The sequence below is a fragment of the Homo sapiens genome, chromosome 6, assembly GCF_000001405.40.
Source record: "Homo sapiens chromosome 6, GRCh38.p14 Primary Assembly".
Lineage (NCBI taxonomy): Eukaryota > Metazoa > Chordata > Mammalia > Primates > Hominidae > Homo > Homo sapiens.
The window spans coordinates 149221570-149242333 of NC_000006.12; the positions used below are offsets into that span (position 1 = coordinate 149221570).

Consider the following 20764-nt stretch of genomic DNA (forward strand, 5'->3'; position numbering starts at 1 on the left):
GAGAGAACTCTCAAAAGCCAGGCTTTTTCTGTCCCTGTCCTTCTCACAGTGAAACACTTAACGCACTCTCTGATTGTGGCTCTTAACTCGCCAGGTAAAAGTCCTTCTGTGTAGTCTAGGAAGAAGGGCAAGGGCAAAGGGAGGACTTTGTTTATGAAGCCTAAGTAGAATATGCTCTGCTAGATAATCAGTCCTGGAATGAAGGAGGGGAGAAGTGAGTTTCTGATTGTCTGAGCCCAGGTCTGATGTTGGGAAATGCCAGCATTCCAACCCCTGATTTCCATTCCCACTACCAGACTTAGGCAAAGTTACTCACCCGTTCTTGACCACATAAATGTATGTGTGATGGCTAATTTTATGTGTCGACTTGACTGGACTAAAGGATGCCTGGATATTTCTGGAAGAGACTAAGATTTGAGTCAGTAGACTGAGTAAAAATTGCCCTCACCAATGTGAGTGATCCTTATCCAATCTGTAGACGGCCCGAATGGAACAAAAAGGTAGAGAAAGGGAGAATTCACTCTCTCTAACCCGGAACAGCCATTCAGCCATTTTCTCCTTCCCTTGGACATCAGCACTTCTGATTCTCTGGCCTCCAGATTATGACTGTGACTTACACCATCGGCCTCTCTGGATCTCAGGCCTTCCAGTTTGGACTGGAATTACACCACCAGCTTTCCTGGGCCTTCAGCTTGCAAACAGGTGATTGTGGGACTCTTCAGCCTCCATAATCACACGAGCCAATCCCTCATAATAAACCTTTCCTGGCCAGGCGTGGTGGCTCATGCCTGTAATCCCAACACTTTGGGAGGCCAAGGCAGCCAGATTACTTGAGGACAGGAGTTGGAGACCAGCCTGGCCAACATGGTGAAACCCTGTCCCTACTAAAAATATAAAAATTAGCGAGGCATGGTGGTGGGCACCTGTGGTCACAGCCACTGAAGAGGCTGAGGCAGGAGAATTGTTTGAACCTGAGAGGCGGAGGTTGCACTGAACTGAGATCATCCCACTGCACTCCAGCTTGGGCAACAGAGCGAGACTCTGTCTCAAAAAAAAAAAAAAAAGAAACTTTTTTTTCATATCTCTATATGTGCCATTGGTTCTGTTTCTCTGGAGATCCCTGGCTAATACACTATATAACAATTACTCCCTTTGAAAATCAGGAACTCACAGATGATTCAAAGTGTGACCTACACTTTTCTTGCTGATGCCTGGCCATAGGCAGCAGCGCAAGACTGTGTCTCTCTCTCAATCTCTCTCTTTCACATCTCAGGTTTCTATGCAGTTAGAAAAGCTACTTTTCTAGAATCACTTTTTCCTAAGTAATCCATATCACATCTGTTAGGAATTACTAATTAATAAGCAAAGTTAACCAAAAAAAGAGAGTATTATAAATCCATCTTTCTATTAGATTGTGATAACTGCCCCCTTCTATTCATTATTTCCTGTACCAAACTCATTTTGTAAACTAAGATCAAGTCTAATAAAAAAATTCTTTTTTGTTAAGTAGCAACAAGCATGCCACATGAAATATTGAAATATATTGAGTTTACAAAAAACAAACTCAAAAGACTATCTTATTAAATTCAAAAGGAATGTTTCTTCACAAAAAGCTTTTTGGGTAAGACAATGAGGATTCACCAGCTCTATTTTATTACAGATACCTGAGTCTGTTTTATGTTTCTGTGGTGGAATTTGGTTCTCAGAGCTTTGTGACCTGTCGATGAGGACATCTCAGTCAGTCTTTTCCAGTACCTCTTTTGTTTGTTTTAGTTTGCAGAATCTGTGCAGCTAAACAGAAATTAAAACAACTGATTTCTAAGACTCGTCCAGCTCTGACATGAAATGATTCTAAGAACCCCTGTGATTTTCCAAATTATAGCCTGTGTTCTTGCTGTCCATTGTCTTGCTATTTTGTAGAGTATGATCCAGATTCCCGGCCTGTCCTAATCTGTTGGAAAATACTTTCAATTTGAAAAGCTGGATGGATAAAAATGACAATTCTCTCAACTCCAGTCCCCATTATGCAGGTTTTCTGTGGCTTTGGGGGTTAAATGCCTGATACAGACTGATTGCCCCTACCGTTTTAGAGAGTTCTCATGTTGTTTCAGCTGCTTATGTAAAAAAATGTTAAGCTGTATTACCATTTGAGTACTTGATTTAGTGATGCTTTCAATGACTGCTTGCATTTTCTGGACATGTAATTCCATTTTTTATATACCATCCCTAGTTTAAACCTTCAAAGCCATATTTTAAAAGCATCAGCAGCTGAGGCTGAATGTAAATATTCCTTTAATCTGGCTGAGACTACACACCTCCCCCTTTAGGAAAAGAAAAAAAAAAACTGTAGAGACTGTCATAAATAACTTTACTTAAGTGAATGCTGAAATTAGGCACCACATTGCTTGGCTCCTAGTAACCTCTTTGCAGCCAGATATGTAGAGTACCCACTGGCCAAAACTTCATCTTTTCAGAAATGGAAAGCAGGGAAAAACAATGTGATCACCTTTTAAAGGGGCATGTTGGACCCAGTTCCAAAGTTCAATATGCCTGGACAGTTCTCAGTGCAGTAACTACAGCTGACCTTGGAAGAAAATGATGTTTATAGCAGCCCATGAGTCGGGAAGGGTGATAATGAACGAAATGTAATCATGTATTCCTGGCACACACTTTGAATAGTACAAGGAGCTAATTGCATTTAAGTATTATCTTACAATACAGTGACCCAATCATTTTGGAAGATAGCCAAAGCCTCCCTTTTTAGAAGAGGAGGAACTTTTTAGCAAAAATTCATTAATTTTAACCTCTGAAACTCCAAAAACTTTTTCCTGGATCAAGTCAAATGGCACGGATTTTTCCCGTAACTCTTCCTATCTGTACTGTCAAATGCTGACATGTATATCACAGGCTCCTGGGCTGAACTCTGAAATGATGGATCCTGTTATGCTTTGGCTCCTGGTAATCCTTGGTTTAGTATAACTTGTGGCACCACTTACGGCGGTTCTCACTCAGATGACATGAAGGAAATATTCATCCTGCTAAAGTCTGGTGCCTGTCCAGGGAAGAGTGCCAGCCCACAGTGCCACAAGAGGTAAGGGAGAGCACAAATGTCTCAAAGAACAAAAGAGCAACAGGAAGAAACCAGTCCTAAAATGGCATGTAAGAATATACTTTGCTTTCCCTTTTCAACTCGTAGTTTGATACGTAGGTTAATGCCATCCTACATACCTTTATGTTGGAGTTAAGCAGGCCCTTGAAAAATAAACGGAGAACTGACAAAGGAATTAAGGTATTTTCTTCTACATACACATTTTTTAGAAAGTGCCAGTGTAATTGATAGCATATGCTGCTTTTTAGCCATTTTTCAGTTCTATGTATATAAAGGATGTTGGAATTAATTGGTCTCTTTCTGGAATTTGTGTTTTGGTCAAGTGCTTAAAATTTCTTATAATACTTTTCTATTAATACTGTTTTGTGAAGCTGGCATTTTTAGCTAAAACATATTTGGGACTGCAATTTGCTACAGACATTACAGCCAAATTGAACAACAAGATGAAGACACTGACTCTGCTTTCAGGAGCTTATACGCCAAACACCGGAAATGGAAAACTTGTAATTATTCGAAAAGCAGGCAACAGGAACACAAACTTTTTGAAATATCAGTAATATCAACTTGAGAAGTTGCTTGTAGGCCATCAAAATCCATCTGTGTTTGACAGTTTTACCATAACTAGATCCAATTTGTACATCAGATAATTGGAAGGTACTTGACTAGCGGGGGAAAGAAAAAAAAAAGAATATTGGAAAGAAAAAGAATATGGATCTATTAATGAAAAGAAGTGAAATTCTATGTCTAAGGGAAATTTTTTAGAGTTTGTCAGATTCCAGAGGTAGTCCAAGGTTTTTTGACATGACCCATGGAATACCAGGCAGAAAAAGAAATAAAGCCAACATCTTCTTGCAGCTGGCAGGCAGAGTCAGACAGAGCAGGGCAAAGGACAGTTGGGGAACTCCCTTTGGGCTTCCCTCCCTCTTGTGGATCAATCATGGTGTTAGAATACAAATGGGAATTTTATTTGTCCCATAGCCAATGATAGGGGACACAATTTTTAAACTGGACAGATTCCAAGTAAACTCCACCCGCTATAAAAATCACGAGGCAGTCGGTGAAAAGCAGCCATTCTTCCTGCTGGAGGCTGTGAATGAAAATGTATGTTTTGGTGTTAGGTACTCCCATTGCTTAAAAATTGGGAAATAACAGACTAAAACATTTCAAGTATTCCAAAAACAAGCAGAATTTGAGAAGCGGAATACTAACAGCTAAGAATCCGAGATCAAAGCACTAAAAGTTCAAGCAGAATAAGCAAGGGAACACAAGCAGACATGAGGCCCAGGAGGGTCGCTGAAGTGAAAGGGGCTTGAGTCCCACTGAGGCCTGTGCTCTCAGAAGCTCTGAAGCGAAACAAGGGATTAAACTGCCCCAGGACAAAAGCGATTCATAAAAGTACACAACAGCCACCACCAGGAACATAGAGGGGCTCTCATTAAACTGGGCTTAGATCAGTGAGAATGAATGAGAGGATCCCGCTCCCTAGCCATCCAGGGTGGAGACTGTTGTTTGGTATAGCTCGGGCACCTGGATTTGGAGGAAGGCCTGCCCATTATAGGACACAGAAAATAGCTCCAGTGAAGGCATGGCTGTAGGCTGAGAGTGAATCAAAACTTAACGGGTAGGAGAAGTGCGAGGACCCGCGTGCTTCCGCTCTTCAGTGACTCCAAAGAACGTGGTCCTATTAGTCCTCGGGTGTGAGTCTGTCTGTCCATGCATAAAAACCATTAACTGGCATCCATAATCCTCTCCAATCCCTATTCCGTGGTCAGTCCCCACCTCCGCAGATACTGCTGTGTGATGCTCACACACCCTGATGTGCTTACTTCTGATGATTTATTCTTAGAAATCTACAATAATATTTTCTTCCTTTCCCTGGTAAAAACTGTTTTATCTTAACTGAGCCTCCTCGGGAACAAGTCAGAAAGCAGAAAGATAGGAAGATGGGCAGCTCTTGGACCCTTCAAATCCCACCACAAAGCAGTGTCTGTTCACTTAATGCTGTGTTTTTGTTTCGTTTTTGTAAGATACTAGGTGCAAAAACAAATGTAAGACACTTGCATTTTCCTAATATCAATGTACTTTTATCCCAGTGTAATCATTTCAGTTATTGAGTTCCATGAGGCCATTGCTTAGAAAAGCAACATTCCAAACAGACAATGCTGGGTGCACCTAAACCCAAATTTATAAAATGTACAAATCAACGAAGTGTTTAGAGCTCAAAAGTGTTGGATAAATGAATCAGTCTATGAACAAATGAATTAAGAGGGTGGTTATTCACTTTTCAAAAGGGTTATTTGGTTCTCTAACAGATTTATTTCAAAATCCCTGTGGAAAACTCCAGATCCAACAGAAATTATTTATAACTGCCCTTCAAAGAAAAAAAACCTGGTGAAACAGTGTAGGTATAGTTTTTGCAGGAGCATACATATTACTAAAAGAAAGATTCACTTCTTCTAAGAAACCTTTAATATTAAAACGAGAGATTTTTCTTCTTTCCTGGTTATATGAATTACAGAAAGTAGAAATGGTCAACAAATTATTAAATTAAGCCTTTTCCTATAAATGACTAGGTACTATGTCAAGGTCATTTTTTAATTACAATCTTCTCTTTGCTCCAGTAAAATTTAATTATCCTAACTACAACCTTCAGAGTCTACTTTTGGTTGAAAATATTAAAAAATGAGTCAAGATTGCTTGTGAAAAATCTGACCCCTTGATGTCCCAGACATAGGCTATTCAGATACTCAAAACACTTGATACGGGCTGCAAGAGAAAGAGCGTCATGTTACCACCAACAAGCAGACAAGGCAAATGCCCACGATGCCAGGCCACTGGCTAAGGGGTGGAGGGAGCAGAGGCACTTCAGGGCATGCCTTCAAGACACTGGTTTCCTATGTGATGTCACTCGGGGGTGAGGCCGGCTTGCCACTTGCCCACCCTTTCCATAAAACTGCGATTGCCCCCAGAACATCCCCAGTGAGGAATCTTTTCTGGACCTTGGGCAAGATATAAGTCATCCTTCCTGAAAATCAAGAAGAGCTGCTAACATGCTGAAGTATTTACAAATGAAATGATTTGTAAAATGTGGAATTTACTTTAAAATAATCTGTGAGATGGGAGTGGTCGCCTTGATCATTGTTATTACTGGGTGATGGGTTCGTGAAGGTTGTTTATACTTGGTCTCCTTACTTTCTGTGTGTGTTTGAAACTCTTCATAATAAAATGTTTTTTAAAAAATCTGCTAACATAGTTGGGGCAAGAAGCCAGCGTAGCCACAGAGAGAGAACAAATAAAATGTCTATAGTCACCTCATTTCTCAGGATGAAAAAAGCAAATCAGTACCTATTATTGAGTGAAACGTCCCACCATAGCACCACCCTATCTGATCAACACTGCCTCAAAGCCATTAAGCCCAGCGCCAAGTCAGATAAAGCAGCTGCAAAAACAGAACCTGCCCCAAACTTGAAACCTAAGGAAAATAATAATTTAAAATTTAAAAAAAATCTGAAATGAATCCATTTCTCCCGCATTTACAACAACTTTTCTCTTAAATTAAGCATCACCATGACCATTTGAATTACAAATGTATAAATTATTCATTATTTGCAATGCGGCTAAGTGTTCTGGCCCCACGTGTTGAAAGCCAGTGCTAAGCTTGCCTGGAATCTGGCTGACAAGGTGAGGGTGGCATCTGGGGACTCTGGGGAGGCAGATTGCCCGTCAGAACCCTCGGCCACCAGGGTGTAAGAATGGAAGAGTGCATTATACTGTACGGAGCTCTCAACTCTGACTTCCTCACACTGTGAACCGTCCCCACCATCTCCTGGCTCCCCAGCCTGTGACAGCTGCTACCCACTGGCACCACCTACATTTTAAACCAGCTGGAGACAGGGTTCTACGTGATAAGCCTGTTATATTTGCAGAATAAGCAGGAACACCTAATGGCTTAGCCCCCTAACGATTCAGGCACCAGCCTCTGACCGGCTACAGCAATGTGCGCTGGCAAAGCAGAGGAAAAATAATTAAAAGAGCCTTTGTCAAAGCTCTCTCTAAATCAACCCTTTAAATGTGTTCGGTTTAAGAGTCCCAATGTACCAATTCAATCACATGGGCCTGTAAGAACCACAGGAATGCCAGGATAGCCATGGCCAATTAGTCAAGCAAGATGGATGTGTGTGCGTGCATGCATGTGTGTGTGTGAGTGCATGCACGCATGTGCACACTCACATACATGCTCAGAGAATCCACACAGATGCTGAAAGCATTCTCTGGAGAGAGGGCACAGTGACCCCTCAAACAACTCTTCTTGTTTGAGAAATGGAAAAAAGGGGGAAATAACCATTGGAAAGATGGCAGCAAAGAGTGACACTCACAATAAAATAGAAGGGAGAGCAAAGTTAGCACATACAGATCCATTAGAAGAATAAAGCTCAAACAAGCATTTGTAATGTAATCCACGCAGAAACAAAGCAAGCCAGCCGTCTAAAACCTAAGGATAGGGCAGGGAGCAGGGAGAGACAGATAAAAAGAAGAAAACACCAGAGATGCCAAAACCAAGGGGGAAGAAAAAACATGCAGTGTCAGTAACTAAACACAAGAATAAGGCTGAAACTGTCAACAGTGCAACGTAAAACCCTGAACTGGCACCGTGCTTCTACTAACAAAGAAAACGTGTGCTCCATGCAGATGGCACCCAGCAAACCTTTAAAGACGTGTGTGTGTGTGTGTGTGTGTGTGTTTGTGTGTGTGTAATTTTTTTCTTTTATTTTAAGGGGTGAGGGGCTGCTGACAACAGTGGGGAGTCTGCACAATTGATCATGGCAAAATGTTTTTCTCCTGATATCTGCAGACCTACACTGTGCAGAATGAGCAGGCCAGAAAGAAGCATGGCTTCTTTCCATGAGGGTCACCGGATCCTGCACAGAGTCAGCAGGGCACGTAAAGGAGGCCTGGCAATAGGTGGTGATCCAGCAGGGCCGGGATCTGGGGACCTGGTGGGCACTGTGGACACTCAGACTCTCTCCTGTACTCTCTCTGGGTCAGTGAGACTGAACCCTTGCAAGTCCTCATCTTAAGTTTCTTATTTGCACCACAGGGGGCCTAAAATGTCATCCTTGACTCCAATGGTGCCCTTGTAGGTTAAGTTTGCAAGCCATTGAGCAGAGTGCTGTCGAGTTGGTTTATTTGTTCTTTGAATGGTCATGTTATTATTTGGATCCAAGTTTTAAATTTCCCTAATTCTAATTGCAGTTTCTGAGGACCTTGGCTCATTTCAAAATCTGGAAATATATTTGAACACCTCTCCCAGAAGTGGGTAAGAAGTTAGAATAATGGAAAGGCTTGGCTCCAAGTTCAGTTGAATGTCAAAAAGCCCAAGTTTGGCTGAATGGACTTTGTGTCGTGAAATCTCAGCTCCCTCTCTCTTCTTCCAGGCCAAATACCTACTGGATGAAACTGATAAAATTAAACAAAGAGAGAGGCTTGTGGTCTGATGCATTTATTGCAATTATGAGTACTTCTTCAGTTTCATCCTGCAATAATGTTTGCAATCATTTATCAATTCATCTAATCACATATTCAACATGTTGAGCCCCATCTATATGCTAGTCAGGACACAGACAGTGATAGTCCCTTCATCAGAAGTGATGAACTTCCCTCTGCACTCATCTTAGAAGTATTGGCCTGTGGACACCCCTAAGCTCCACAAGTCTGAGAATCACAGCTTTTATGCCCAGTAAGTCCACGCTTGTTAGTTTTCTACTCCTGCATTCATCAGTGGGGCTTGAGTTCTTCAACCTTAAAAGGCCAATAAACTGATTTGGTCCAACTTAGATCAATAATAGATATCTCCTAGGTCAAGTACATGAGGCAAGGAATATAGAGTGTAAAAATAAATGTATCAAGTTTTCTAGACAGCCACCAGAGCAAGCTCAGTGGTCCATGTGATGCTTGACTCCAGGTCCTTGATAATAAGCTCATTGACAGTTCTAGGCAGTCATAATCCACACAGGACAGGGAAATCTGTAAATTGGATGGCTTCAGTGGAAGCCTCCTTGCCCTACAAGGCCGTAAGGATGAGCTGTCATGAACTAGAAGGTCTATTTTCATTCTAGCTATTGGACCCCGCTTTTGACACACTGACATTCACAGCAAAGGTTAGGAAATTACAGTAAGTATTTTTCTATGGTCAGGCTGCTATTCTGGCATTTTAGGGGAACTGAAAACAGGCCCCTTGGCTTCCTGCATGTTTTGTGCATTCACAGTCCTGGGTTTTGCTGCATGAGAGAGATGTGCTATGGGGTAGGAATTGGACAAGCTCACTTACTGAGCTGGTCAGCCCACTTCCCAATGGGCGCTCTCAGAAGGAACCCTGTGAGATAGAAAGCAGGTCTCTCTGCCTTCAGGATACCTACATTCTAATCAGAGGCTGCCACACTAAACTTGCAGCCTCACCTCATTACAATTCAGTTCTTGTGCTTCTGAACTTTTACACCAGTATTTGGGGAACATTAGGAAGGGGAGACGAAATGTGGACAATGATTCCATTTTATTACATATGAAAAGGGCAGTGGAGCTGATGATTAATAACTACCGCATGCCTTGTGAGCTTGAACAGTCACCACTTTAATGTCAGAGACTTTATTTTCTGTTCCATAGAAAATGGTGGAAAAAGTAGCAAGAAAACAGCATGCATCTGTGGTTATATACTTATGCAATCAGATACTTAATTGCATTCTGTAAATTGCATGTATGTATGTAGGAAGCAATCATTTGTTTAACAACTCTTTGTGGTGTTTTCTTCTAATTTTCCTACAAATTAAATTTTAAACTTGATTTGGGGGTGATACCTAAAGTAAGTTGAACACGCTTTAAATGTCTTTTCTATATAATATTGACTGTCTTGGGAAAAGCACTTAATCACTGCATATGTACATATGTAGATGAGTCTAATTTCTCTTGAAAGAAGAAATTTAAATAAGCTAAGCTAGAGCTCCTATATTAAAACACCTAAAATTAAGCAAAGTATTTTCGAAATGAGTGTGAAAATCTCCTTTGGAAAGTTGACAGTGGGGAAGACATTTAGACCGTATCTCTGGTCCTCAAGTAAGAGGAAGCTCAAACATCAGGGGAGCAGAGGAGGTGTTTACATTTCTTCTTCCAGTTGAAGTTTCACAACTTTGGAAGCAAAAAAGAGAGGAGTGAACAGCTGGCTTTTACAGAGTATCGGAGAGCAGGGTTTCTGGACCAGGGCTCCCTACCCAGAGCAACGGGTTACTGGCAAAGGACAGCGAGAGGATCTACAAACGCTTGGGAAAACATGCTTAACAGGAAGCTCACTGACCTGATTGTGAGGATCAGAAACAGAAATTTGAGGGTGGAGGGGGAAAACTCTGTGAACTTACAGGACAGGGAACAAGACGTGCGCTAGAAAGAGAAGAATGATTGGGGAGGTGTTCCTTAGTGTTCAGCAGAAATAAGGAAGAGGGAAGAGCACGAGGCCAGGCCTCGGGGACCACCAGCCAACCCACAGACACAGAAACAAAGGGAGTTTGATTTTTTTTTTTAGACGGACTCTCGCTCTGTCGCCCAAGCTGGAGTGCAGTGGCACCATCTCAGCTCACTGCAACCTCCGCCTCCCCAGTTCAAGTGATTCTCCTACCTCAGCCCCCCAAGTAGCTGGGATTACAGGCACACAACACCACGCCCAGCTAATTTTTGTATTTTTAGTAGAGACGGGGTTTCACCATTTTGCCAGGCTGGTCTAGGATTCCTGACCTCAAGTGTTCCGCCTGCCTCGGCCTCTCCAAGTGTTGAGATTACAAGCGTGAGCCACCACCCTCAGCCCAGGAGCTTGATATATTAACACAAGACAGAACTATGATCTCACAGTGTCACTGAGGCAGGAACAAGGCCGATGACAGGAATACCACTAAGGGAGGCTATGCCTTGTTCAAACCATAGAAGTGGGGGGAGGGTATCACTGAACTGGATAATAACACTAGGTGTAGTTAGCTGTCCCTATATAGCAAGCATTGTGTTTATTGCCTTCTATTAGTTATTTCCTTTAATCCAACAAAGTAGAGTTCCATTTTTCAGATGAGGAAACTGAGGCTTGGAGAAGTAGGCTCCAAGCAGGCTTTCATCCTCTACACTAAACTGCCTCCAGAGAAAGTGCCCCAGAGCAGAACAAGCCTTGGAATGCTGTCGTACCCCTGGCCCATCCTGAGGGATGCTGCTGTACTTCCCTCACAGCGACCTGTGTGGAAGTCGAAGCCCAAAAGGCAGGCACAGCTGACATCCTGGCCAGGAGTACCCACTCCCATGCCAGGGCATAGTACATAATAGCCCTGTTTCACCTGCCTAGTGTCCACCCCTCACACCAGGAGTGATATATCCTGCATGCAGACCCACCAGCCGGAAGATGGAGGTAGCCAGGCACTCATGGGTGGGGACAAATGATGACAGGAAATAACCAAGGAAGTCATGAATGCCATGGTAACTACCTGGCGGGGGGTGAGAAACAAGGGCTTTCCAGCACAAGTCACAACTTGGGCACTTAGCACAGTGACCAAGAATCTGTCATCCAGGGTCCGAGACAAACCTCCCTCCGCTCAGTGTGCCTCCTTGGCTTCTCCACTGAGACGCCTCTACTGTAGGCCAAGAAAGTTGATCCTGAAAGCTCACCGCAGAAAGCAGCAAACTAAACCTCCTTCCTGCCTGGGCCCAGAGCCACCCAGGGCCCAGCAACCAGTTCTTATCTCTTCATCTGATTTGTCACACGTAAGTGTCATGGTTGAGCCATTGGTTTGTCTCCTCCATTATATTATGAGCCTCTTAAAGGCCAGAAGTGGTTTTTTATCCCTGAATCACCAACATGTAACTGCCCCCTAACAAAGCACTAAGTAATTGTTTACCAAATGACTCATGGATCTGACATTCTTCAAATGAAAACCCCCTAGGAAGGTTTTCTCCAATAGATTAGTCCTGCTTTCCTTTACACTTCACAATATACTTGTTTATTAGATTGTAAATTTCTCAAGGCCAGAAACTCACCTTAATCTATTCAATTGGTGCAAAAGTGATTGTTGTTTTTGCAACTACTTTTAATGGCAAGAACTGCAATTACTTCTGCACCAACCTAATATATCCAATGCTTGATCCATAACGGGCTCTCCATAAACAATAATATAATTTTTTTACCACCATGAAGCCCTCCAACCCTCCCCAAATGCTGTTAGGTTGGACCTCTCAATCCTATCCTTGTGTAATTCGCTTATGAAATGTAAATGTGGCATTTTTACATTTATTCCTATGAAGTTCCAACAGTACTTCACTTCAGTTTATGATTTTTTTAACCTTTTAATAATAATAATCAGTCACATTTTTGTCATTTGTATTTTCAACCAAGTCTTTAAGAACTATATTGAACAAGACACCTATGACTCACAAACCGCTCCTAGTATGAAGTTTTCACATGGGAGGTTTTCAATAACATTTTTAAGATAAAAGAGAAACCTACTAAAAGCAGACTATCTGATAAAATCTTGGCTTCCCCTGCTGACATGTGCAGACTTGAAGACAGAAGAAGTAATAAAGGGAACTCTTGCTACTCGGATGTTTTAAATCAGAATGTTGAAACCATAACCCCCTAGAGGTCACCCCTTTCTTGAGAGGTGCCAGGAGGAAAGTAAGAGGCTGAAGAGGGGTTGGCTGAAGGGCACTGGGGCCAGCAGGAAGTCAACCACTGCCCACCCACACCCCAGCTTCACCCCGAGCTACTCACTGCCATCTTGTATGTATTAGGGTTTTGCGTAAGGTTTTGTTTGGGAGAAACTGGTGCCCACAAAAAAGAAAATGGAAAATCAACCTCCCCATTTCACAGTTGCCCACCTCCTGCCGCATGTACCTTGCAAATGACGCTGTCAGCCAGACATCCCAGGGAGCTGCTTATTCATTTTCTTGTGGACAAGATGGGAAAATAGAGTGCAGTTAGGTTGGGTTCTTAGCAGACAATACACTGTGCTGAGATGATTAATGAATTGATTTCAACCTGGAGGGAGTTCCCTGGGTTGTGTCATAGAACTGTGTGAGATTTTTTCAGTGATTTGAAGGAAACATCAAAGGCATGTGTGCCAGATAAGTAGAAGATAAAAAGATGAGACGACTAAGATTAGAGAGTGTGAAAAAAAAAAAAAAAAACACACTCTTTTTAAAAAATGGCATTGGCCTAAGAATAGACCAAAAACAAAGGCATACCATGTAACAAGAATAAACACTAAGTGCCACTTTTAGATTTTCAAAAACAATTGCAAAAATACAAGATGAGGACATCTGACTTCAGCACTTTTTATTAGAAAGCCAGGAGGTTTATAATTAATAATAACTCCAGCTTTTTAAGTGTGCGCTCTGTGCCACTCAATCTGAGTTCAGAGTGGAGCATAAAAATAAAAGCTAAGGCAAGTTCTGTTTGCATTCATATAAATACAACATTCAAGGCAAGGAAACATCTGACCATAATCTGAACTGGCTGAAACACCAAGTGGGTTTACGGTTTCAATCCCGGATGACACACTGTAAGAGGGACCTTGAGAAACTGGGCCCTGTGCCAAGGAAAACAGAATTTTGAAGGCTCCATAAGCCACAATAGTGAAGAAGTGTTAAAGGAAATGGGGATATTCTGTTGAGGAAGAGCAATCTTGGGAGGAACGTGATAGATGTCTTTAAAAATTTGAAACATCCTATTAAAAGGGGATCCTATGTGTTTGGTGTAACAGCAGAAAGAGGAACTAGGATCAGGAGGGTGAAGTTTGAGGTAGCAGCCTTGTTTGGTCTTGAGCACCAAAAAATCATCTGACTAGCTTGAGCAAAAAGATACATTGGTTGGAAGAACATGAAGGAGTTCACCATTTCCTAGCTAGGCCGAGGAACCAGACTGGGGGTCCACAAGAAACAGAGGGCTCCAGAAAGCCTTGATATCAGGAACTTCTTGACCATCTTGCTTAGCACTGCCTCTACAATTAAAAGAATTCCAGCCATTGCCTTGGTGCTTGTGTCACCCTGCTCAAGATTCATGTCCTAGGAGCGTGAATTTCATTAGACATGCATAGGTCACACATCAGTCCCTTGACTGTCCCAGGGAAATGAGAAGAAGAGTCTGGCAGAAGGACCTTCAAGAGGTCCCTTTGACTTCCACAGGGGGAGGACACCTAGATTTATTTGTCAAACCCAGGCTGGCTCTAGTGGAAAGCAGTTTATTCCCCAAAAGAAAACTATGGTCCTCTTGGGAAGGGAGAATGGATTTAAGGCACCCAAAAAGTGAAAAATGACCATGACACAGAGCTCAAAATGCAGAAATACTTTCTAAAGATTAAAGTGGTCCAGGACATTGGAGACTACAAAGGGTGGGAGGGTGAGAGGGAGGTGAGGGTTGAAAAATTACCTATTGGGGACAGTGCTCACTATTTGGGAGATGGGCGCACTAAAATACCAGGCTTCACCACTACACAATATACGCATGCAAGAAATCTGCACTTGTGCCCCCTAAATATATAAAAATAAAATAAAATGGTCCAGGAATATAATGACCAATGAGGTCACCCTCATTTGAGGTATTCAAGCGTAAGTCACAGGATCAAACAATAGGAGGTATTGTTGGCTGAAGCTTCTATATCTCTAAATAAGTAGTTTTCAACTTGGGAACATGTCAGAATCATGGGAGGAGCTTTTTCAAATTATTTCTGCCTCGATTTCTTTCCTGTTCACAAAGATTCTAATGCCCTTTTACCATTCCTTATTCCCCATTGCCAAATGAGAACCCAATACAACACCACATCTGAGGTTTCTACTCACTCAGTGCTTTCTGTTGGTGAAATGGCCCAGAAAAAGAGATAGGAGGCTAATCAAGTGGGGAAGTTCTTTTTTATATAAAAATTTTTTGAGTAATAGGAATGTCTACCTTGTAGAGTTAGGCAGCATAAGACATATCTGTTAAAAAATGGAAAGGAACTTGGCTGAAGAAAATTAATAGTTGGAGTTATCTGGCAATGCTGCATATGTTGGCTTCCCTAGGCTACTGTTATTTTGTTTGGAAGGGGTCCAATTTTCCCCTTGCATAAAAGGAGACAAGAGCTGTTTGAAGCCATTAACAGCATCAATAGGAGGGACATTTGAATTAATAACCAGGAGACCAGTCAGCCAGAAGCAATTTTCAGCATAATCTTTTCCTTTGACTTTTGTTGTAAGACTGATATTTTGCTGCATTATATTTGGTCCAACATGCCACAGCAGAGCCAAATCATTTATCTTCCCAACTCTCTTTATTTTTTAAATTGGCCTAAGTAAAATTGTTTAATTTATTTGCATGGCGATCCCCTCCGTGGATCGTGTTAGGCACTGTGAAGTGTTATATCTGAGCATAAAGAATTCCTTGGAATTTGGCAAGAAATAATATGTATAAGGGTGTACAAAGGTGCTCTTGAAATAATGCTAAGTGAGCAGAATGAGACAAAAACCATGGATAATACATGAGCTTCCTTTTGTTTCTTTGAAACTAAATCTATACAGAAGTTCATTTTTTTCTTCCTCTATTTTACTCATCCCTACTTGCTAATGTACAATCCCACCTCTTGCAAAGTCTTCTTGCATTGTGTTTCTGGAGGCTCCTGAAGGACTTTCACATCTGTTAAGGAGCAAGTCCCTGAAGATGCAATGTGGTCCCTGATGCTGGTTTCCTCTTCTCCAGCTCTGGCCTCCTCACCCTGAGAGGCATTGCACACAGGTGCACCATCTACTATGCACCCCCATGATGATACAATGGAGCTACCAAGGTGCCAAATCCAGGCCTCTTTCCATGCGTAAGTGGAGAGGCAGTCAGTCCTGCCTTTCTCCTGTTTATAAAACCTTCAATGGCTTCCTAAGACCCATGCTTTAACAACAAACCCCTCATCCGTCCTCTAGGCGGCCTCACCTCAGTGGCTGGCAGCTACTACTTCCTAGAACTCACCTCTCCTGGAACACCCCAGGGTGCCCCACACCTAACGGCATCACTTTTGACAGCCAGTCCCCTCCCACTGTGGGTGCTGGCCATCTGCCGAGCATAGTGGGCTCAGGGATGAGCAATGATGCCTGTTCCCAGCAGGCTTCTGCTGGTCCTTCTGCCCCAAGCACCACGCCACCCCACTCCAAATCAATTTGTTTGAAAAACATCCACTTTTTCTTCAAAACTTGGCTCTAAGATTTGTTTCTCCGTGAAGCTTTCTACCTGCTCCCCAGCCCCACAGTGTGTGCACCCCACACTCAGCGTTCCCATAGCACTTTGTTCCTTTTTCCTCTTCCTCTCCGTGGTATTTAGCCTACCTTCTACTAGCACCTACTTATGTTTGCCTGGCTCCCACCTTCACTAATTCGTGAGCTTTTCCTGGGGAGAGATCTTTTCACCATGGGTAGGGACCTGTCTCCCATCACTTTGGAGTTCCCAACACCCAGCACGGTGCCTGGCCCAGTCTGCGTGTCCAGTGAAATAACAAAAATGTAACTAAGAACCAGGAAACTCCACATGGAATCACTGGCATTTCCAAGACCCCCTGGCATCTTCAAAAGTCTGGGTTTCTTTTCTCTTGCTCTAGAGGGCATCTGGCTCCTCTTCTTCTCTACCTTTCTGTACCCCTTTTCTCCCTTTTCTTTACCTGGGAGAGGAGACACAGGGTGGGCTTGCTTCCTGGCTTGAGCTTCTCTGGGGTTCCAAATCGGGGTACATCTCCACAAGGCACAGCAAACCTACTATATTCAAACTTCCTGCAATTAAGACTCACCCTACATGTTCTGGCCCAGTGGCTCAGTGCTGAACAAGGACATTGGCCAGACAAACACCCATTGCCCTGGGCCCTGGCCTCCCAGAATGGCACAAGATCATGGCTCCCCGGCTCCTCCAAGGATGACCATGTCCACCACGATACTTAACAGTTGCCACACCAACCATGTCTGATCAAAGTGATTCTCACTGTGAATCACTGTGAGACCTGAAGAGCAAAGCCTGCACATCCCGGAAGCTGTCTGAGGCTGCTCGGGGCATATTCTCTTTCTCTTTTAAAACACAGACTTGCCTTTGCTACCTTCTGTAGGCTATGTGAGCACAGCCGGATGTCCCATTCAAAGGAAGCTTCTTGACTTACTCATGGAGACTGTCACATCTTAGACGACAGAGCCTTCGCCAATGTTCATGTTCAAAACCATCCCACTTGACAGATCTAGGGCTGAGGGAATGTCTAATCTTAGCAGTAAAACTCACATTTATCATATTCTGATGACCAGTTTAGAAGAGAAGACAGCGGCAGTGGAAATATCTCTGGGACCTCTACAAGGGATTAACTCAACTGACTGTGGAATGCCAGTGCCTCACCAACTGATATCCAGCTATGAATGTATTCTCCATCTAAAACTCAAGTGACTCTTAGAAAGGGATCACTGCAGATACCACACAGGCAGAGCATTTGTGCTTCCAATGAGGCTGGCATGTCTGGCTGTTATCAACACAATTGTCATATGATCGCTTGATAGACAAGCCCAAGCTAACACTGGGCCTAGCCTCTTGGTCACCGTGACTTTAAACCTGGCCTGGAGTTGCCATGACCAGAGCTTACTGAGATTATGTGGTGAGGTCACCTGAGTCAGGAACAGAGCCAGGAAGCAGAGGCTAAGCCATTTGATGGGCAGACCTCTACTCCAGCCACAACATCACTGTCAAAACGAGGTCATGGACAAGTCTAGAATTCACGGTGATCAAAGGTGCTCTAAGCACTGTGGCTGAGGCTTTGCCATAATCCCAGGCTTTCCACAAGAAAAGCATATGTAAATGTTTTGACATGGTGTTGGGATATTTCACTTCAGTTTAGTGAGCTTAGGTACTGGCAAGAAAAACCCAACTGTATTTTATTCGAGCTGCTTCTACACACTTTATTTTGTTCTCTTGTTATTTTTCAATAGTGTTAACAAGGGGTGAATTATCTCCTGAACTTGGCACTTGGTTACTTCCCCAAGGCTCAGAACTGTGAAGTGTGAGTTCTCACTCAACAAATACTTCTTGAGCACCTATATGTGCCAGACACTGAGCCCATCCTAGAGACACAACACTGAACACAGCCGAGGGATATTCTGTCTTCGCAGAGATGATAGCCTAGTAGACAGTGTGTCCAACAGGTAAACTTGACCTATTAGTCAAGCTTTTCTGCACAGGACCAAGGCCAGTCTATTCAAATTCTCAGTCACAGGACTAGAAGCATACTCCAAAATGAAAAAAGGGCACCTGTGACCACAGCAGATGGCAGAGCTATGGACAGCCCTGGGATTGAAAGTAGCAGAAAGCAGCAGCAGGAGTTTCAGTTCCAGAATGCCCAGGCTGCCCCTGCTGAAGGTAGCGCCAAACTGCCCCGTTGTGCTATCTTGATTATTATAATTAATTCTAAAAACTACATCTTATAGAAGATTCCCTAAGGACTGGGCCCTCGGCTCAGGGCCTTACCCATGTAATCTGAGCATGGCAGGGCTCCTCTTTACCTGTTTGGCAGGCATCTTCCTGCTTGGCTCAAGAGGAGGGGAAGGGGAATCTGAGCCTTCAGTCTGAATGTCCCTCTGCCAGAGAAGTCATCTAGTTGGCCACCTCCTGCCGTGGTGGCAGGTTCCTCCAGTCTATGAAACAAGGGGGACATTTCTGCACCCACAGAATGCAGAAAACTGCCCAGTTAGCCCCTCTCTGCTGCAAACCCTTCACAATTCAACAGACAGATGCCTTCGGGAGAGTTTCTGGAACTCCAGTGTAAATAAGGTCAGGTGGATCAGAATGTTCTGTAAAGTGTTATAAAACTGTAGAATAATAGCATCATCATCATCATCATTATAAAAGGATAGTGATAACATCTTAGGCTTGCTGCCTAGAGAGATTCAAGAACAATTACTTTATTTTTCTACTCTTTCTACTATATTTTTATTCTGTCTTTATGGTAGTATAATTTGCATATAATGAACATGTTTTAAGTGTAATGTCTGTCCAATTTTGTTTATTATTTTTGGGCTAACATAAAGTCAAATATATTTTAAAGTACAATAAAATCAAATGGCTATATTTTAACTAATATAAATATGTAGAGCTACAAATTTAATTATGACACGTGTTATGGATTAAATGGTCATGCCCCTCCCCTAAATGCATATGTTGAAGCCCTAACCCCAAATGTGACAATATTTGGAGATAAGGCCTTTATGGAGGTAATTAAGGTAAAATTAAGTCGTAAGGGTGGGGCCCTAATCCAATAGTGATAATGCCCTCATATAAAGAGGAAGAGACACCAAGAGCTCTCTCACTCTTCACACAAGCACAAAAAAAGAGGTCAAAAAAGAGGTTGTGTAAGGACACAGCAAGAAGGTTTCCACCTACACACCACAAGAAGAGGCCTCAGAATGAAATCTACCATGCCAGCACCTTGATCTTGAGCTTCCCAGCCCCGAGAACTGGGAGGAATAAATGACTATTGTTTAAGACACCCAGTCTATGGTATTTTGTTAGGGCAGCCTGAGCAGACTAAAACAATAGATTTTGGGCTCAGTTTAATAGTTACACTTGATGATATATGTAGGCAAACCACTTCTCCATTTTTTTGTTGTTTTCTAATAGTGGCTTTTTGCCTATACTCTTTTAATCAATAGGATGTTGATCCTGCGTACTGTAAATGATTTTTAATGTTTTTAAAGTGGCATTATAAATTGTTGTATTTGTTTCTTTCTATCAGACACTGATCCAATAAATGCTTGAAAAGGTTGAATATTTGCAAAGATATTTTAGCTTAAATATGGACTTCTTTAAAGTCTGCTTGCAAATTGATTCCATTTGCCAGCCACCATTTCAATGCTGTGGGTAGAAATATGACGAAAATGAGATTAAATCAAAAGCAAGGCTGAACTCCCTGCAAATTTTCAAAACTGCATAAAAGACTCCCAAGCAAATATAACCAGAAATTAATTCCATATTACGCTATCTGGAATGATTTACAGATGAAATTGTGATTTTTATTATAGCTCAAGCCAAAGCATTAGAGTCTGATTGAATATATACCTAGCCACCGAATCAGACTTAAGGATGGCTTCTCTGAACACATACGAGTAGAAAGTAGAAAGAATTGGGGAAGAAGTGAACTGGACCTGAAGCCCACTCTCAGCCTTCCAGCCCGTGCCTCCTCTCTCTGCTGCCCCGTAAGGCTGCTCCTGGGGGCCCCGAGGTCATCCTTGGCTACTGCGTTCCCCACTGCCTTCCCCAGGCTCTGGACTTTCCTCCCTCATTCTCCCCATCAAACCTTATCTGCCTGGTGCCATTGGGCTCCAGCTTCCCATTAGGAAACTGAATCTCTGCAGGATATGGATGTCACTGCTCGGGATGGCCCTCCTTCCTGCCTATCCCACATATGTGTATTGAAACAATGCTCTTGTAAAGAACATGCCTAAACTAAGGGATCATTTTGATGATACCTATTCCAGTCTTTGGTCTCTAGCTGTATTGGTTTCATGGACCCAACACTCATCTTTATCAAGTTTGATTAATTCTTTTTCCACAGGAATATAATATCATAATACTCCCTTAAGGTTTGAAATAACTCAAATAATCAC

The 20764-nt window shown here is 42.6% G+C and overlaps 1 protein-coding gene across 2 annotated transcripts in view; it reads left to right on the forward strand.

The window, feature by feature from the left end:
* Nucleotides 1–20764, forward strand: part of TAB2 (TGF-beta activated kinase 1 (MAP3K7) binding protein 2) — a 193682-nt gene that overhangs the window by 3644 nt on the left and 169274 nt on the right. Inside the window, exon 3 of one of the 2 annotated variants that reach the window (NR_125861.2) lies at nt 8363–8590. The exons of the other annotated variant lie outside the window; for it this stretch is intronic. The gene's annotated coding sequence lies outside the window, so the exon portion shown is untranslated. Of the gene's footprint in view, nt 1–8362; nt 8591–20764 lie in introns of those variants that run through there. 2 annotated transcript variants of the gene reach the window in all.